The sequence below is a fragment of the Homo sapiens genome, chromosome 8 (assembly GCF_000001405.40).
Source record: "Homo sapiens chromosome 8, GRCh38.p14 Primary Assembly".
Classification (NCBI taxonomy): domain Eukaryota; kingdom Metazoa; phylum Chordata; class Mammalia; order Primates; family Hominidae; genus Homo; species Homo sapiens.
Window position 1 is genome coordinate 856,855 of NC_000008.11, and position 20,760 is coordinate 877,614.

The window sequence follows — 20,760 nt, forward strand, 5'->3', positions numbered from 1 at the left end:
TGTGGATATCAACAAATTGATCCTAAAGGTTACATGAAGAGGCAGAAGACCCAGACAAGTTAACACAGTATTTAAGGAGAACAAAGTCACAGAACTGACAGTTGATCTCAAGACTTACTGGAAAGCTACAGTAATCAAGACAGTGTGGCACTGGTAAACAAATAGACAAATAGATCAATGGAACAGAACAGAGGGTCCAGAGACAGACCCACGTAAATACAGCCAGCTGATCTTTGATGAAGGAGGAAAGGCCATTCAATGGAGAGAGGATGCTCTTATCAACAGATGGTGTGGAGCAATGGGACCTCCATGTGCAACAAAATGAACCCAGAACCAGACCTTACACCCTTTACAAAATTAACACAAAATGCAAAACTATAAAAGTCCTAGGAGACAATGTGGGAGAACCCTGGGTAAGCTTTGATTTGGTGACTTTTTAGATATAACACCAAATGCATGATGCATGAGAAAAATTGAAATTGGACTTCATTAAAATGAACAGCTTCTGCTCTGCAAAGACACTCTTCAGAGGATGGAACAACAAAGTCCAGACCGGGAGAAAATATTTGCAAAACACACACCTGATGGAGGACGAGCATGCAAAATATACAAATAATTTTCAAATTTCAATGGTGAGAAAACAACCTGATTTTTAAAATGTGTAAAAGATCTTAACAGACACCATCAAAAAGATACACAGATGACAAGCCACTGAAAAGATACTCCATGTCATGTGTCATCAGGGAAATGAAAAATAAAACAGCAAGGAGACAGTGCCACACCCCTGCTGGAATGGCCAAGATCCAGACACTGGCAACACCATCAAGTGCTGGTGAGGATGTGGAGCAACGGGAACTCTCATCCTCACTGTGGGGAGTGCAAAATGGTGCAGCCACACTGAAGACCGCTAGGTGGTTCCTTACAACAGTGCACATTTGCCATGCCGTCTAGCAGTCAGGCTCCTAGGTGTTCACCCAGATACTTGAAAACTTCTGTTCACACAAAAACTTGCACATGATTTTTTTTTTTTTTTGAGACGGAGCCTCGCTCTTGTTGCCCAGGCTGGAGTGCAGTGGTGTGATCTCGGCTCACTGCAGCCTCTGTCTCCTGGATTCAAGTGATTCTTGGGCCCAGCCTCCTGAGTAGCTGGGGTTACAGGCATACGCCACCATGCCCGGCTAATTTTGTATTAGGGTTTCACCGTGTTGGCCAGGCTGGTCTTGAACTCCTCACCTCAGATGATCCACCCGCCTTGGCCCTCCAGAGTGTCGGGATTACAGGCGTTAGCCACCGCGCCCAGTGCACATGAATGTTTATAGCAGCTTGGAAACAACCAACGTGCCTTTAAAAGATGAATGAATAACCAAACTGGCCTATCTGGACAAGAAGTGCTGAGAAGGAATGATCTACCAGGCTGTGAAAGGACGTGGAGCAACCGTAAATGCACGTGACTACGTGAAAGAAGCCTGTCGCAAAAGGCTACGCAATGTAGGATTCCGACTGCATGGCATTCTGGAAAAGACAGAACTGTGCAGACAGGAAAGGTTCAGTGGCTGCCATGGGCTGTGGGGAGGGAGGGGTGAATGGGCGGAGCCCAGAGGAATTTTATGACAGGGAAGCGCCTCTGTGTGATGCTGTCATCGTGGGCACATGTGTGGTGCTGTCACCGTGGGCACGTGTAATGCTGTCACCGTGGGCACATGTGTGATGCTGTCACCGTGGGGACATGTGTGACGCTGTCACCGTGGGCACGTGTGTGATGCTGTCACCGTGGGCACGTGTGTGATGCTGTCACCGTGGGCACGTGAGATGCTGTCTCTGTGGGGACATGTGTGATGCTGTCATTGTAGGGACATGTGTGATGCTCTCACCGTGGGCACATGTATGATGCTGTCACCGTGGGCACATGTGTGATGCTGTCACCGTGGGCATATATGAGATGCTGTCATTGTGGCCACATGCCACCGTGCATTTCTCCAAACCCACAGAATGGACAACACCAAGAGTAGCCCTCGTGTAATCAGTGGACTTAATAATTATCAATATTCGCTCCTTACAGCAAATGTTTCACACTAACATAAGCTGTTAATGGTGGGGAAACTGGGGTGGGGAGGAGGGGTTATATGTGAACTCTGTGAACTTTGTGCTCAACTTTTCTGTAAGCCTATAAAAAATAGTATTTTAATTAAAAAATACATCGACATTCTTATTTTATTGTCACTAAAAACCTGAGACATAGACCAGCCCCACCTTAGTCTTCTTTTTTTTTTTTTTTGAGATGGAGTCTCGCTCTATTGCCCAGGCTGGAGTGCAGTGGCGCAATCTCAGCTCACTGCAACCTCCACCTCCTGGGTTCAAGTGATTCTCCTGCCTCAGCCTCCCAAGTAGCTGGGATCACAGGCGCACGCCACGAAGCCTGGCTAATTTTTGTGCTTTTAATATAGGCAGGGTTTCACCATGTTGGCCAGGCTGGTCTGAAACTCCTGACCGCAGCTGATCCATCTGCCTTGGCCTCCCAAAGGGCTGGGATTACAGGTGTGAGCCAGCACACCTGGCCCTGTCTTAGTCTTCTAATTGGAGTTTAGGTGACTGGAGTTTAGGGAAGAGAGGGTGCCTTGCCTGAGAGCTGGTTAGCGGCACGTGTGAGCTGATCTCCATTCTTCTAACTCTGTGGCTTAGTTTATTTCTACAACACAGGGACTGAATGGCCCATCGCCCCCTGCCCAAACCTGCTGGGGGAGGCTGGCTAGCTGGACGTTAGAGTCTGGGGATGAAGTCAGCTGTCTCAGCACCAGGCCTCTGGCTGCCTTCGGTGAGGAGCCAGGTCAACAAAGCAGAACGAGAAGTTGTTAGAATTCTGGATTTGCTGCATTCACTCTGGCAGGTGATTTTTCTCCAGGGCCTTGGTTATTCAAGTAGCAGGAGTGAAGGGGTTAACTGGCAACCCTAATTAGAGTGAGGTGCGGTGTAGGGGCCACCTCACAGGCAGCCGAGATGGAAGACGGAAGACGTGGCTGGGTTTATAAACGCACACATGAGACACATGGGCTTATGTGGGCTTCCCGTAACATTTCCAGTATTGAGGTGTTGCTGTTGCTGTTGTTTGTTTGTTTGTTTTTGGAGCTTATTAGTGTTAATGGTGGTAAAAAGTAGATTAAAGTTACTGCTAATTAAGATGATTTCTTTAAATACTAAATTTGGTTTTAGGTTTAGATTGTTGTTTCCAAATTAAAGAAATAAGAAGGATAAATATTTCTGATTTTTGGCCTTTTTGGTTTTTGCTGTAGATGCTGTCATGGCTCCAGGAGCTTTCCGTACTTCTTGTGGTAGCCTTACAGACGGCCTTTCAGGTGGCCTTCGTTATGTAAATTTTCAAACCCACAGCTTAGAAATTAGAATGGGGTTTTGGGATGACACCCCGGGTTTTGCAGAAAAATCTCTTTTGTGACCAACCACTGGCTGCCGCTGCCAGCTCTGCTGACACCAGCGAATAGCAGAGCTTCTGACCTGTTTGCTGCGGCTGAGAAATGAAAACAGCCCTGGGCTCCAGAAACACTTTCAAGGCTCTCCATTATCCATCGCCTTGGCTTTTCTGTCCCAATGGAATGAATTTCATTGTCCTGGACCAAATGACTTCGCTGGGGCCGTAGAGAATGGGAAGGGTGGACGCCTCCCGGCAAACCGTCTGCATTTGCATAACACTCATGGCAGTGACTCAGTGGTTACTGTGGGGACTGACAGAGTCTTCCTTTTCCAATCCCTAACCTGTCATCCTGGACTTAAACCATTTTCAACTTTTATTTATTGGCAAAAAATGTAAAGATGATAAATGTCCTTTCATTCACTTTTTCATTTGTTCCACAAAAACATAATCGTGTGCGTGTGGCAGGCATGCTTCTTGGTGATGGAGACACGGCAGGTAGCGTGTGCACCCTGTGTGGCGGGGAGTCAGTGAGAAAGACGGAGAAGAAGCAGACAAATCATGCCGTAATATCATACCAAATCATGACGCCTATGAAGAAATGGTAAAGTAGGACTAGGGTGGAGGAGCAATGGGCATTCTCTTGGGTAGGAAGGCTGCTCGTGACCTGAAGGTGAGAGCCGTGCCTGTCCCCTGCTGGACAAATATTCCATACATGGGGGCCACACGTGCAAAGGCCCTGAGGTTGATGTGTTTATAAGTGGCCAGAGAACAGCGGGAGCGGAGGGGACATGAGGAGAGGGAGTGGGGCAGTGAGGTGGGAGGCAGCCGGGACCGGGTGGTGCAGGGCTCAATCTGGGAAAATGAATGATTGTGTGTGTTCTGAACATGCACAGACTTCTTTTGGACATTGTTCCCTACACGATACAGTATAACAACTATTGACATAGCATTTACAATGTCCTAGCTATCACGGGAGCTAGGAGCTGCGTATCTGGGAGCTGCGTAGGTTAGGTACAGACACTGCCCCTTTTTATATAAGGGACTTGAGCATTTGTGGAGTTTGGTGTCTGCACGGGGTCCTGGAACCCCTCCTCACACATACCGGGGATGACTGTACTTCTCCTCATGCTCGCAGTAGAAGAAGTTTGAAGCCCCTAGCACGGAATCTGCTCTGGCCATTTAACAGAAACCAAGAGACCAAACATTTCATGGATCCGTAGCTCCTGTCGTATTTCTTACTGCTTAGTAGGGTCTTGTCGAATGATAGAATAAATTAATAAACAGTCAGGTAGTTTATCCGCTTTTATTTTAACAGCGCTTTTGAAAAGTTTTTACCTTTAATGTGAAATCAAATATGGAATTCCAAACAACCCAGGAATAATTCAGGAAATGACGAGAAACATATTTCACAGTGTTAGCTATGGCGGTTGCAAACCTGGCGAGGCCTCCGTTCCTACTCAAGGGACAGCAGCGTTGACGCGCAGCTTGTCCCATTTTGCAGGCAGGACACACCTAACCTCCCGGTGGAAATGTGTTTGCTGGTGGGTGTTCTGCTGTTTTTGCCAAGGCTTTATTCTTTGTTGATGATTCACATGTTGTTTTATCCATTAGGTAATATTGTAGGGCTCAGTATAAGTAAATGCAAATTGTCCTCTGAATTCATTAGGAAATTATTTTAAAAGGCACTTATGCATAAATTCTCATCCCACCAACTGTTTAGACTAAATTTCTTTTGAAAGAAATTCCAACCTTCTGCATCAGTGTTTCTAACACAGTTTTCTGTAATTCTCCTGAACCGTTTGTAGAAACAGTCATTTCTTGGTTTCATGAGTTTATGGTGGGGTCTCTTTTGTGGAGTGAGCACCGTGTCATGGCCAGGAGAAGGCTCCGGGCCTCGTCCAGAACAAAAATAATCCACGGGCTGAGTCGCACCCAGATTCCCACGTGTCCTGTGGTGGACGGTACCCTTTTCTCAGGTGTCTTGGAGCGAGTCCTGGACAGTCAGGAGGATTGGACTCCAGTTTTTTTTTTTTTTTTTTCTTGAGACGTAGTCTCACTCTGTCGCCCAGGCTGGAGTGCAGTGGCATAATCTCAGCTCACTGCGGCCTCCGCCTTCCGGGTTCATGCCATTCTCCTGCCTCAGCCTCCCGAGTAGCTGAGACTACAGGCACCCACCACCTCGCCTGGCTAATTTTTTGTATATTTACTAGAGACGGGATTTTGCCATGTTGGCTAGGCTGGTCTCGATCTCCTGACCTCGTGATCTGGCCTCCCAAAGTGCTGGGATTATAGGGGTGAGCTGCCTCGCCTGGCCAGACTCCAGTTTTATTCCTGGAAATAACTGTGTGATCCTGGGAAAACCTCTTGACTCCACCATAGCCTCAGTTTTCTCACCTGTGAAATCAGCAAGTGAGAACAGATCTTGTCCACCGTTACTTGGAACCTCAGGTGTTTTGAGTCCAGTTGGACGTGGTTGAACTTGAAGCCTCAGCTTTCAAATGGCTTCCCCAGGGCCCCAAAGTCTGGTGTTGACTGAGGATGCACTGCTGACATGGGACTGTGGGAGGTCTCTGATCATGATGTTGTTTTATATTTTACTTATTAACATACATAATTGATCCACAAAATCAGGAAAATAAATCATAGTACTTTTCCACTGCCACAGAGGATATGGGTTATTTGAATATCTGAGTCAGTTTGTGTCTCTCTCCAGAAATACAGATATGAATATGGCAGTGAAATGGATTTCAGGGACATGCTGTGAAATCTTGTACTTTGCTATTTGTGAATTGTCTATGCATGCACGATTCCGTTGGAAGGTGTGAATCCTGTGAGGTTTCTTTGGTGCGTATTATTCCTGTTGCTCACGGCCAAGGAGGTTCAGAGACACAGTGGTTAAGGGACCAGCCTATTTTGTGGAAGGGGCAGTGGCAGGATTGGACTGGAAATTGGGGTCTGGACATGCTCTGCACCAGGGTTATTTAAGGATGTGCTTTGATACCAATGACATGGATTTCCTTGTAAGTAAACCCTCAAGTCATTGATGGAGTGCTAGATTGCATCACACAACAAATATTGATGACATCCCAAATATTTAAGGTTAGCTGTCCTTAGACTCACTGTGAAGAATAATTTCTCCATTCTCATTTCTGTGTAAACAGATACAGCACCTTGTTGTGTTTCGGCATTCCACTGGTGCGCACACCACTTGGAATTAAAATTTCAGGATGCTGGATATTAACCGCTGTCAGATGCATGCTTTGCTAGTATTTTCTCCCATCTGTGGGTTTTCTCTTCACTCTGTTGATTGTTTCCTTTGCTGTGCAGAAGCTCCAGTTTGATAGAATCCTCAGCACCGCGGATCATCGGGGAGATACAAATCAAAACCACAACGAGCTGTCCCCTGGCCCCTGTTCGACTGGCTTTCACCAAAAAGACAAAGACAGCAGATGCCAGTGCGGATGTGGAGGGAGGGGAACTCTTACACGCTGTTGATGGAAATGTAAATTAGTACAGCCGCTATGGAAAACAGTGTGGAGGTTTCTCAAAATGCTGTGATCCAGCAATCCCACTACTGGCTACAACCCCAAGGAAATGAGGTTGGTGTGTGGAAGAGAATCGGCCCCCAGGTCCATTGCGGCACCCTTCCCCACAGCCCAGAAACGGAATCAGCCTGTGTGTCCATCAACAGGTGAATGGATAAAGAAAATATGGTACACAGTGGATATGACTCAGCCATCAAAAGGATGAAATCCTGTCATTTGCGGCAACGTGGATAAACCCAGAGGACGCTTTGCTAAGTAAAGTGAGCCAGGCAGAGAAAGGCAAACACCGCATAATCCCACTCGTGCAGAATCTCAGCAGATCTCACAGGAGCAGAGCGTAGAGTGATGGTTACTGGGGACTAGGGGAGGTGGGAGGACAGGGATGCAGGAAATGAGTTAGCAGGTGCAGGGACTTGGGTAGGGGAAGAAGCTCTTGTGTGCTGCTGTGCAGAAGGGTGACTACAGGTGAGAATATCGTACGGTATGTCCCAAAATAGAAGAAAAGATTTGGAATGTTCTCAACGTAAAGAAACGATGAAAGTAGGAGATGATGGAAACACTACACACCCTAATTTGTCCATTGCACAAAGTCTCTGTGGATTGGAACATCTCACTGTGCCCCATGAATAAGTACAACTATTGTGAGTCAACTAGAAAATTTTAGAAACCTCACTATTCTGGGACATCTTTTGGCCAGAAAAATATATAAGGCCAATCTCTGCAGTGGTTTTGGGAGAGACTTGGATTATCAAGCTACTTCCACATGATACGATATTTTAATTCACTTCCGCTCAAATGACTGGGAGTGAGGAGCTACAAGCATAGGATTCAAGGATGACAGTCACCGGTGCACTTTCAGTAAACCTTTTGCCGTTGCACAATGCTGAGTGTTCTCTGTTTCAGAAGCAGGTGCACCTGTCGATGGGAGGCCCATGGGAGCTGCCAGGGTCCTGCGTTAACACTGAGAATTTGTTTTTAAAAAGGGATGGCTGAAAATATTAAAATATAAAATATTAATATTTATATTGGTCAGTGTTCTCGTCATTGATAATTATAAGACAAATTATACACCTCCCTCTTTAAATGTTTCTTCTTTAATATTTCAAGTTAAATGTATTCTTAGATATAGGAAAACTGGGAAGTGGATTTAGGAATCTCAGATATAAACTTGTTGAACATCTGAATCTTTTCTAGATGGAGTAACCTTGTTTCCATTCTCAGATTTGGAAATGATATTGTTTTCAATCTCAGCTATGCGGTCTCATGGCCGCTGTCCCTGTAGGACCCCCAGGGAACAAGGGGGCCCCTTCCAGATCTCCACAGGCTCACCTGGCCCACCAGGACGACGGGTGCCCTCGCTGGACACGCTGTCTGCAACATCTTGGCTCCAGCAAGATTGATGTATGGAAATTTCCTTTAAGGGATCTTCTAGCTGTTTCTGTTAAATTCCAGTTAATACCAAATGACAGAGAGGAGAGTTATTGCTACTAAACGCTGAGCTCATGCCACAGGCTCATGCTTTTATATTAGCTTCTGGCGGAGAAGATGGGTTTTAAGATTGTGCTCTAGAGTTAGACTTTCTGGGATGTGTCTTGATTTGCGGCGTCAGGTCTACTTGCAGCCTCCTTTCAAGCCTCGTGCTGTTCTCAGTGTTGATCAGATTCTGTGATGTTCCCCGGGGCTGAGTTTACTTTGTGAGCCATTGTGTGACTTCCAAAATCTATAATTCTTCATCTGCCTTCTCATCCTTTTCCTTCCAAATTGCTCACCTCTCTCCAGCATATGCACTTCCGTGGCATTTACTGTTAGGAAAGATAAGGTTTATAGCTAAATCCGGTTTTAAGGTTGTGGGAATGGCCACTCGCCCTCACAACGTGCTCTTCTTTTTATAAGGCCGCTGTGAGCTGCGTGGATGTCTGCCATGGAGCCCTTTTCTCTCCTGGCAGGGATGGACCTTCGTGTACATTCCAGCTCATTGGATGGGTCTGCCCAGCTACAGGGTCCTGAGCTTGCCCCCTCAGAGAGAGGTGTGGTCTGCGGCTCACAGCAGGGCAGTAGGGAACAGCTGCTGAATGCATTCACTTGAAATAAGAACATCTTTTTCTGGCCCTCCCTGTTCAGCCTACATTCAAAACAGGGCAAGGGGAGTGCTTAGTTGGGTATGGTATTCTAATCCAGTTACTTTTATGGGTCTCTTTTTAAATTTTTTATGGGGAAGAAACTGTGTTCTTGGGACAGGATGGTGTTTCGGAGCCATGGTGCTTATTGGTTTATCTCAGGCACAGTGGCGGGCAGAGTCCTCTGCTCTGTGTGTCCTGCAGCACGGTTGGCCGGGGCCCTCGGTGCCTCTCACATACCCTCAGCACCCTGACACCCCGCGCCTGGCCAGGCTTCTTACCCCAGGCCTGTCCAGATCTTCCGGGGCCGTGCCGGTATCTCTCATGGACTCTCTTCTACAAGGGGCCCTGATTCCCCCTTCCAGTGTCTTGTCCAGGAAACGTGCGTGGGGCATGTGCTCTGTGTTGGAAGTCAGTGCCAGGCGGGCGCAGGTGACCAGACCAGGAGAGCCCAGGGCCTGGGAACCATGTCTCTGGGTCCAGGGCAGCATCTCCTCAGGCCTGTCTTCCAGTGCTTTCATTTCAGTTCCCGTCTGCATAGGGTAGCTGATCAGTCCCCACCTTCTGGTAAACTCACTTCTCGAGGGCCTGGCCTGTCAGTTGATTCTGAAAAGAAGGGTCTGAAGGACCAGAGTGCTGGGGGTCGTGTCTCTGTGGGGCTGGAGAGTTGGCCTTGGTCCATGTGGCCATCGGGAAGCGCTTGCTGCCACCTGTGACGGCTCCTGGGAGCTGTGCAGCTTCTGGCCACCACGCCAGGGCCTTCTAAATACTTTCCCAGACGCTGTGTGCTGTGAGCATCAAAATAATAAATATTCCTTTCTAGAATCGACCGTTTCTCCCTTTCTATGACTCAGACTGGGATTTGCCATTCATTCCAGGTCCCCTGGGCCTTTCCCGCTCCCTGTGACTTGTTGGGAGAAGCTGCTCAGAGCCGGTGTTCTCCTGTCGCCCCAACATGCCACGTTCCCAGGGAAGCCACGTTCCCAGGGTCTGGAGATGGTGTCTTCATCCCTTACAGGCTCACTGCCTTGTGCTGGGGTTTGTTCTCTCTCCAAATCGAGGGCCTCTGTCCTTCCCCATGAGTCAGACATCCAGGTTTCCGCCGTTCTGTGCTGTTCACCTGTCAGCTGTCTAACCCGGTACCACTGATTCGTGTGCCGCCTACCGGCCGTCACCGTGGGCAAAGTGACCACAGACTTCTCAGTTCAGACACGGAGTTCGTAAATTAATGTTATCTTTGTTGATCGGGGATCTATTTGCTTTATGCAAGAAAAATGCTGAGTTTTCTTTGGGTCTTTCCTGGATGCAACCAGCTCTTTGCTTTTTGCAGCTTTATGTTGGAATATGTTGAACTCAAGTATGTATAATTATTCCAACTTCGTGCCCTCCTTGTTTTAATTAGCAAAAATAAACCCTTTAAGCTGTGATTATCCTAATTTGCTGGAGTCAGCAGGAAGCCTGGTTGGAGGAGGAGACAGAAGGTCCTTCAGAGGGTTCTAACAGGCGCTAATCCTTGAGATGTTACCTTCTTTCGATACCCAAACTAGTTGAGAACAAAAGGGGAACAGTGTTGTGATTATGTCATTACGTGGCTTTCTCTATGCTGCATTCAGGCTGGACCTGGTGGTAGCACGCTCTAGGGACATGCACACATCTGAGAAGGCTGTGGATCTGGGATTACTGATGATGAATAAGTCACTGACACTGGCTCGGGTGTAGCCTCATGATTTAATGTGAGACATTGCTGTCACCTGGCCACCTGTGCTTTCTGCTGTGGTAGTGGATGCAGGTTTCTCAGTGCGTAATTCCTGTTCATATTGGTTTCTTATAGGGGAAGTGAAGCTTTGAATGATTCTGTTTTGAATAAACCTCAAAATTATGAGATGTGAGCTGAGCATTATTTAAGCGGTGTGTTTAGTTTTCCACGTAACGCATTTATGACAAACATATTTGCTCAACTTTCTGTTGGCAGTTGTGCCAATTTTATACTCATTATGAAAAGATTTGTTAACATCTGAGGTGATAGTTTAATATTTTTGTATTATTAAAAAATTCAGCAATGGCTTCATCCATCATGCATCCATTGCTTAAAATGTATGATACTTACAAATTATTTGTAGGTGTCAGTTTTCAAAATGGTTATATACTTTAAGCTAATTAAAAATGATGTTGCATTTTTTCTTTATTATTTATATTTAAGGAGTGTAATTAACCCTATGGATACAGTGAGTAAAGGGTTTATGAGAGGAAGAAGATTGTTTTTTATTCTGAGCACTTATTTTTGTCTGTCCTGTGGGGTCACATGTTCTGGAATAGCTGTGGCTCTTGTATGTCAGCAGCTGTGGAGGTGTGTCTCGTTGTTAGTGTTGCTGTTGATCCTGTTCTTGTATCCACATGTGGATGCATGTACTTACAAGGTCACCTAGCACCTGTTCCTCCAGAAGAGGTTTATCTACAGAAAAATGAGCCATCTTTGTCATCTTACACGACACTCACAGAAACATCTCGCTGTGAGAAGGTCCCTGGTTGGCGCACGGTGAGCCGTGCACTGTTTCACAGCCCCACAGCCACACTGCTCAGAGTCAGTCTCAAGTGACCGGAGACGGTGATGTGTCACTAATCCAGAAAAAGTGTCCATCATCTCTGAGATGATCTAAAGAAGAGCTGCAGGTTACGTTAGTGTCTGCCTCGCTGGAGCATTCATGTGCTCTTCCAAGGGTGCGCGGCACCTTGAAGAAGGTGCTGGTGTGGGCTTTGGTGTGTCTGAGGCGTCTGCAGCCCTGTCTGTCACCTTGGAGTCCTCTTGCACAAACAGTGTTCCCTCTTCAGGTGGATCACGTGTTCATCTGAGGCCACCGCACCTCCGGGCCTAGAGAGCGCGGTCACTGCAGGCTGGACGCGTCAGGCAGCCCAGAGTGAGGGTGAAGTGGGGGCCGCGCAGGTTCCAGTCATTGTGTCTCCTGGTGTTTTGCGTTCTCCACAATGAAGTGAATATGTGACAATTTAAAAACTGAAATTGCTGTCTCAGAAAAGCTTTGATTACCGTTTGGTCTAACTTTGATCCACAGAAAAGGCTGCCGGGTTTCTCCACAGGCGTCCTGAGTACCAAGTCAGAAAGCAAGTTTCTGGGCCGGCTGCCCTGGGCCCTCCCTTCCTTCCTCTCCTCCTCGAGACCCTGCTTCACGCCTCTCTTCTTCCCCTTTATTTACATATACAGCTTAGTGTAATTTTGAGTCAGTTCATTTGTTTTCCCTGTGGTTACCAACCAGCCACCCCTAAACGGTTCCTCGGTGGCTGGAAGTCACAGTGTGGATCTTCTGTTACTGTTAAGCTGTTTTCGCGTCCTTCTTGCACCACATTTGATGAAGTGAGTTGAAGGTACTTGTTTCCGTTACAAGAGTCACGCCCTCCCTGTCAGATCCTGAATCCGAGATTTATTTGCAGTTTTGTTTCTCTAGCTGAAAGAATGCTGCGTGTTTTCTCTTTCAGCAAAAGAAAATTTGGTTTACGTTTGTACGCTGAGGGCTCAAATATACAGTAATTAAAATAGACGTCTCTTTATTTTACTCCGTGGAAAGTGATAGCATGTCACAATTAATCACTTTAAAAGCTCTCAAACATGGGCTTTTTAATAACTCCAAGACCTCCCTGTCTTTTCCAAGGCTGGCAGCTGGATAAAGGTGAATTTAATCAACATAAGAAAAATAAAAGACTCCTTAGTCTTAATGAATATGCGCATGTTTTGAACCGTAGTTGGAACATTCGGGGATCAGGAAGTGCTTGGGAGAGAACCCGTGATATTTTGGCAAGCCTGTTTCCCCAAATCTGGGTCACAGAAGCTGGATGTGGTGGTTTATGGTGACGAGTGGGCGGGCCTGATGGGCACCCCGGCAGCGGGACACGTTCTGAACAGCAGGACTCTGCTCAGGAAAGGACACATTCTGAGCAGCGGGACTCTGCTCTGGAAAGAGGACTAATCAGGGAGTACAGAATGAGGTTATTGGTGGTTTCTTCAGGAGAGCAGGGCCATTTAGAAACTGGCTGAGAAAGATACCGTGCCTAATTTACAAAAAAAAAAAAAATGATTTGAGACTTAAAGTCAAATTCTGGGTCGTCTTTTCATTTCTTATTGTACATTTAACCATTTTGTAGCTACAAAACTATTGCTTTCTTAAGATTTTCTCTCTGGCTTCTGTAATAGTCCATTATCTTGATTTTATTCTATGGCTATTTCTTTCCTCCAAAATGTGGATATTTTCCAAAGTTTTCTCGCCGATATTTCTCCTGACAGGATCCCTGAGCTGTCATCACTTAACAAGTGCGGTTATTACAATCATGCAGATGATGCTTATAAACCTCTGTCTTCCATGCTGACCTCTCTTCCAGTACTGGACATCTTCACTGAGAGGTACTGACAGCTCTTAAAACCGGCATTCCTGTTCCCTCCCAGGACCCTAAACACGCAGCTGCCCTTGAAGACTCACTGCTTATGTTAGTGGGTCTGTCTCCTTGGCACCCCGGCTTGAAAACCTGGAGAATTCAAATTTCCTGCACTTTCTCACCCCTTTGCCGTCTGTCTCCTCTCACTTCCTGCTCTGTCTCCTCTCACTTCCTGCTCTGTTTCCTCTCACTTCCTGCTCTGGTTCCTGGACTCCTCAGGCACAACACAGCCTCATTCTTTTGGTTTTCCTTCCTGTGGCCATGGCCCTAATCCAGACTATTATCCAGCTTTTGGATCTGCCGCTTCTTGGTGAGAGATTTCCAGAAACCTCCTCAGCACCCCAGCACATTCCCTGAGCCCCTGGAGTGGGCTGTGGGTCTCCGCATGTCTTCGTGCCCTGGTGACATCCATGAATGAGGGAGTGGAGGGCTGCCGGGCCGGGCCTGGAGTCTTGGCTCTCTTTCCCTCACCGCTGATAAGGACAGAACTCGGGAATCTGAGAATCACGTCTTGGGGGCTCAGCAGGTCTCTGTGACCATCCTGTGGTCATTCCCCTAATTCCAAAATGCGTAACTGTGGTAGACGTATCTGGCACCTGAGCTCAACATTTTCCTTCCCCTGGTTCTTCAGAATAAATAAAAGGGACTCAGTGGTCCCCTTAACCTTCCCTGAGATGTTCTGTGGCAGTGCGCACTGTTTGACATCAGTCAGAGCCTGACCACCTCTGGGCACCAGTGTGCAGGTGTCTGCCTGTGAGGATTTATGCCACCGTTGGGTGCCGTGCCCTGCCCAGCCTGCACCCCTTCCCACAGAGAAGGCCGGTTGCAGGCCCGGTCCAGGGTCCCCCGTGCATTTCTTCAGATGGCCATCCAGTGTCCACACCTGAATTAATTGGCTGCACTATCTTCTGTCCAAACTGTTAGTTGAGTTTTGGATGGAACCTTTATCACCTGCTACATTTCCATTTGCACTTTGGGTTACTTTTGTATTTTGCTGTTCTAAGAACGAGTTTTGTCAAATCTGACAGGGTGATCCTGCTTCTGAGTCCACCGTTGCTCATTTTCCTACATGTTTCTTCATCCAGATAAACTTTAAAATCAGTTTTCAAGTTTCTAAAGAATTATGTGTGAAATTTTGATTGGGATTATCCAGGTTTAGCATCCTAAATCTTAAAATTTGAAATCCAAAGTGTTCCAGCTTCCAAAACCTTTAGAGAGCTGACATGATGCTCAATGGAACTGCTCATTGGAGCATTTCGGATTTGGATATTTGGATTTGAGACATTCAACCAGATAAGTATAGTCCATATCTTCCAAAATATGAAAAAAAAAACCAATTTGAAGTACTTCTGGTCCCACGCATTTTGGGTAAGGGACACTCAGCCTGAGCTGGATTTACAGATCAATGGGAGAAACTGACCCTCTGTTAAGGATGTGGCGTCTCACAGAGAAAGGTGGGCCCACCTACTTGTTGGCATGTATATTAAGTAATTCTTATTAATATTTCTTTCAAGGTCTTCATCCCTTCATGCATTTTTTGTCTACTTGGTGTTATTTGGGCTGTTCTTGTTGAATTTCTTCTTACATACTCTACAGTTTTTGCGTTAGCTATTTCCACACATATAACAGATTTTGTGATATGATTATAACAGATATTTTTGTGCTGTTCTTGTTTAGGTTTATATCATTGTTTTCATTGCTTAGAAACTTAAGAAAATTATGTGGTTTTCTTTATGCTATGTGTGTATTTAGTGAGCTTTCTTCTCATTTTTCTCCAGAAATTTAGAAGGAATTTATTCTAAGGTTCATTTTTAATAATGTAATTAAATTATATTTTTTTATTATTCAACTTCAAAGCCAGAACTATTAGGACAGATGAAAAGATGCTGCACTTATATTTAATGACAGCTAAAGTTCCTTTCAACAGAGGAAAGTTTTCTCTCACTTCTTTTCTTTTTTTTTTTTTTTTTGAGACAGAGTTTCACTCTTGCTGCCCAGGCTGGAGTACAACGGCGCGATCTCGGCTCACAGCAACCTCTGCCTCCCGGGTTCAAGCAACTGTCCTGCCTCAGCCTCCTCAGTAGCTGGGATTACAGGCATGTGCCACCACGCCCGGCTAATTTTGTATTTTAGTAGAGATGGGGTTTCTCCATGTTGGCCAGGCTGGTCTCAAACTGACCTCAGGTGATCCACCCACCTTGGCCTCCCAAAGTGCTGGGATTACAGGCGTGAGCCACTGCGCCCGGCCTTCTCTCACTTCTTAAAAGCAGTTTTATTGAGATATAATTCATATACCCCATACTACTCACCCATTCAAAGTGTACAATCCGCTGGCTTTTATTATATTCAAAGAGGTACATGCAACTATCACCACAGTCAATTTCAGAACACTCTCCTCACCCAAAATTGAAGCCCTGCACTATTTAGGCACCCTCTCTGTCCTCCACCCCTGCCTCCTGTATCAGCACAGTCAGTCCTCAATATCCAGGGTGGGGCAGGTGCCAGGACCCCCACAGATACGCAGATCCACGGATGCTCAAGTCCCTGATGGCAAAAGGCTATTTTTGCCTATAACCTACACACATCCTCCTGCATACTTTAAATCATCTGTAGAGTACATATAAAGCTTAATACAGTGTAAGTACTATGTGCATGTATGCATGTGTAGTATTACAACTGATTCTTTATATTGACCACACATGCTCCCACATACTTTAAATCATCTCTAGATTATTTATAAAACTTAATATAGTGTAAATGCTTTGCATGAATAGTATTAAAACTGATTCTCTATATTGACCTCATGTCCTTCAACCTTGCCAAACTCATTTATTAATTCTAATAATTTTTAGTGAATGTTTTAGATTTTTTTGTATATGATATCATGCCATCAGGAAATAGAGGTAGTTTTATGATTTCTTACTTTAAATCTGAATGCCTTTTACTTCTCTTCATTACCCTGGCTAGGACCACCAGCACAATTTTGAAATGAAGGAGTGAGAACCAACATCCTTGTCTTGTTCCTGATCTTAGAGAAACAGAATTTAGTCTTCCACCACTAAGTATGACGTTAGTTATGTGGTTTTCATAGATGCCTTTTATTAAGTCAAGGAACTTTCCTTCTATTTCTAACTTATTGCTTGTTTTTAATTAATACTTTATAATTCTCTATATATAATTGCTGCATTCATTTTACTAATATTTTGTTGAGGATTTTTTAATCTATATTTATGAGATATTCATCTTTAGCCTTTTTTTCTTATGATGTATTTGCCTGGCTTTGATATTAGAGTAATATTGGCCTGATAAAATGAATTAGGAAGTACCTGCTTTTTTTCCATTTCTTGGAAGAATTTATGAAGCATTGTTATTAATTGTTCTTTAAATAGATATAAAGAAAGTTTGTTTTGTGGCTTAGTTAAGGTTTGTTTTGATTTGGCAGAATTCAGTAGAGATGTCGTCTGGGCCTGAGCTTTTCTTTGGGAGGACAGTTTTTTGATTTGCAGTCTTCACTCTCGAGACGTCTGTTTAGATTGTTTTCTCTTGAGTCAGTTTTGGTAGTTTGTGTCTTTCTAGAAATGTGTCCATTTCATCTTAGGGCATCTACTTTGTTAGTGTAAAATTATTCATAGTGTTCCTGTACAATCCTTGTTATTTATGTAAGGTCTGTGATGATACCCCTCTTTCATCTGATTCTATTAAACTGAGACTTCTCTTTTTTTTCTTTGTCAATCTAGCTAAAAGTTTGTCAATTTTGTTGATATTTTCAAAAAGCCACCTTTCCATTTCATTTACTTTCTCTTTTTTTCTGTTCTCTATTAGTTTCTGTTTTAATATTATTATTTTTTCTTTTTTCTGCCTGCTTTACATTTAGTTTGTTCTTCTTTTTCCAGTATCTTAAAGTGGAAGTTTAGCTTCTTCATTTGAGGTCTTTCTTTTTCCTTCATAGAAGCATTTACAGCTATAAATTTCCCTTGAACCCTGCTTTGGCTGCATCTCATAAGGTTTGATGTGTTGAGTCTTCATTTTCAGTAACCTCAAAGTATTTTCTAATTTCCTTTGGGATTTGTTCTTTGTCCCATTGGTTATTTGGGAGTACATTGTTTAATTTACACAAACTGGTGAATTTCCAAAACTTTTTTCTGTTGTTGATTTCTAATTTGATTCCATTGTGATTAGAGAAAACAATTTGTGTTATTTGTATCATTTTAAATTTATTTTTAATAATAGGTTTGTTTTATGGCTTAACATATGGTATATTCTGGGAATGTTTTATGTGCATTTGAGAAGATCGTATATTCTGCTGCTGTTGTTGGATGGAATGTTGTATTGGTGATTGCTAGGTCTAATGGGTTTACAGTGTTGTTCAAGCCTTCTCTTTCCTTGTTGATCTTTTGTCTAGTTGATCTATCCATCATTAAGAGTGTGGTATTAAAGTCTTCGGCTATTGTTGAACTTGTGTCTTCATTTTTGTCAGTTTTTGCTTCACATGTTTTGGTGCTCTGTTGTTAAGGTGCATGTGTGTGTATATATGTATGTCTACATATGCATACACACATGTACATATATATTTATAATTGTTATTGCTCCTGATGGGTTGTCTCTTTTATAGTTAGTTCCTCTTTATCTGTAGTAACAGTTTTTGTTTTAAAGTCAATTTTGTCTGATATCAATGTAGCTATTCTAGCTTTCTTGTGATTGCTGTTAGCATAATATATTTTTCTATCCTTTTACTTTCAATCTATTTGTATCTTTTAATCTTTAAAGTGTATCTCCACTAGGCAGGGTAGAGTTGGATCTTTTTTAAAAATTAAGTCTGACAACATGCTTCTTTTGATTATATTATTTAATCCATTCACATTTAATATTATCATTGATATAGTTGGATTTACATCTACTGTTTTACTTTTTTCCCCTCATATGTCTCTGATATGGTTTGACTGTGTCCCCACCCAAATCTCATCTTGAATTGTGGTTCCCATAATCCCCACGTGTCATGAGAGGGACCCGGTGAGAGGTAATTGAATCATGGCGGCAGTTTCCTCCATGCTATTCTCGTGATAGTAAGTTCTCATGAGATCTGGTGATTTCATAAGGGGCTTCCCCTTTCCCTCGGCTCTCATTCTTCTCCTTTCTGCTGCCATGTGAAGAAGGATGTGTTTGCTTCCCCTTCCACCATGATTGTAAGTTTCCTTGGGCCTCCCTAGCCCTGCTGAACTGTGAGTCAATTAAACCTCTTTTCTTTATAAATTACCCAGTCGTGAGTATGTCCTTATAGCAGTGTGAGAATGAACTAATATAGTCTCATACCTTTTTTATTTCTTCATCCCTCCTTACTCATTTTTTTGCATTAAGTGAATATTTTCCACTGTAGCATTTTAAGTTACTTAAGGATTTTTTCACTATATTTTTGAGTCATTTATTTCGTGTTTGCTCTAGAGTTTCCCATATATGTTTTAGCTTATTAAAATCAGTTTCAGACTTATGCTGGCATAATTCTAGTAATAAATAGAAGCATTACTTCTATGTAGCTATACTATGTTTCCCCTCTTCTGTGGTATTATTATACTTATTACATCTCTTAATGTTGCAAACGCAACAGCACATTGTTATAATTATGACTTTACCACCTGTAATTATGTTCTTAGTATAACATAGCTTTGCTTCCACTAACCCTCTTCGTGCTGTTATTGACAAATATGTTACACATATATTTTTATGTTTGATAGGTCCACCAAGCTTTTTCATATGTATTATTTTATACAATTTTATTTTAAATCAGTTAGGAGGACAGAAAATATGTTAATACAGTCTTTTATAATTATGTAATTACCATTACCAGTTATCTTAATTTTTCATGTGGATTTTAATATTATCAGGGGTCACTTGCTTTCAGCCTCAAGAACTTTCTTTAGAATTACTTGTAAGGTTGATCTGCTAGCAATAAATTCTCTGAGTTTTTATTTTTCTGGAAATGTCTTTATTTTGTCTTCATTTTTGAAGAATAGGTTTTCTGGATACAGCATTCGTGATAGACAGTTTTGTTTTTCTTTTGAATACTTTCAGTATGTTATACCACTGCTTTTCTGGCCTCTACTGTTTCTGCTGAGAAGTCAACTATTAATCAGATTGGATTTCCTTTGTAAGTAACAAGTCATTTTTCTCTTGTAGCTTTTAAGATTTTCACCTTTTCTTTGACTTTCAGTATTTGTACTGTGACTTATCTGTTTGTAACTCTCTTTGCTTTTATCCTTGTTGGAGTTTGTGGAGCTTCCTGGATGTGTACATTATTGTTTTTCAGTATGTTTGGGAGGTTTTCAGCTATTATTTTTTGCATATCTTTTTTGCTGCTTTCTCTTACCTCCTTCTGATGTTCTCATTGTGCTTGTGTTTGTGTGCTCTAGGTGCCCTATGCTTCTGAGCTCCTTCAGTTGTCTCTGTCTTCTTTCCTGTCTCTGCTTTAGCTTGCAGAACATCTATGGATCTGTTTTGCAGTTTGCTTATTCCTTTTCCTGATGTTGGAATCTACAGTTAAACCCCACGAATGAGTTTTTATTTCAGTTATTTTACTTTTCCAACAGCGGAATTTCCATATGGTTATTTCTATATTTTTACCAGGTTTTTTTTTTTTTTATTTTTTGCAACATTCTTCTACCATCTTTACCTCTTCAGTCATAGTCTCCTTTGGTTCTGGGAACATCTTTATGACTCCTTTGAAATCTTTTTCTAATAAACCTGGCCTCTGGTCACTTCCACAGGTAGTTTGTGTTGCCTGCCTCTTATTGTTTTTTCATTGTATGGATCATACTTTCCTATCTCTTTGCATGTCTCATGATTTTTTGTCAGAAACTGGACATTTTGATATATAATGTCACAGTTCTTGCCAGTGATAGTGGTCCTTCCCCCACACCTGGGCTTGTTTTTGTTGTTTCTTCGTTCAGTGATTGGCTGGGTTTGTTTAGAGGAGTCTAGACTCTCTGCCCTGTCCCCCATGGTGTTTAGCCTCTGATGTGGCTCCTTGTTGGGGGCAGGGGTTGCAGCTTTGGGTGTGACCCCCTTACCTGGTTGACAGTGGTATGGGCAGGCTTTCTTCCTCTCTGTCCCTGACCCAGGCAGCTATTAAACGCCACTAATTGCTGCTGATTGCAATTGTGGGCATACATTGCTTCACAAATAAATCTAATCAAATTGTGGCTTCTTTGAAGGAATAGTTTGAGGTTCCTGTTTGATACTT

General features: G+C 43.5%; 1 protein-coding gene across 2 annotated transcripts in view, besides 2 other annotated features; it reads left to right on the forward strand.

The window, feature by feature from the left end:
- DLGAP2 (DLG associated protein 2) overlaps positions 1-20,760 on the forward strand; it is a 970,849-nt gene that overhangs the window by 119,227 nt on the left and 830,862 nt on the right. The gene's annotated exons all lie outside the window — the stretch shown is intronic.
- Positions 3,653-4,154: an enhancer, noted in NCBI's record as "H3K4me1 hESC enhancer chr8:810507-811008 (GRCh37/hg19 assembly coordinates)". NCBI's record gives its function as "activates a minimal SCP1, AML or CMV promoter by ChIP-STARR-seq in primed H9 embryonic stem cells {active_cell/tissue: H9 hESC(primed)}" and the evidence as "EXISTENCE:reporter gene assay evidence [ECO:0000049][PMID:30033119]".
- Positions 4,155-4,654: an enhancer, noted in NCBI's record as "H3K4me1 hESC enhancer chr8:811009-811508 (GRCh37/hg19 assembly coordinates)". NCBI's record gives its function as "activates a minimal SCP1, AML or CMV promoter by ChIP-STARR-seq in primed H9 embryonic stem cells {active_cell/tissue: H9 hESC(primed)}" and the evidence as "EXISTENCE:reporter gene assay evidence [ECO:0000049][PMID:30033119]".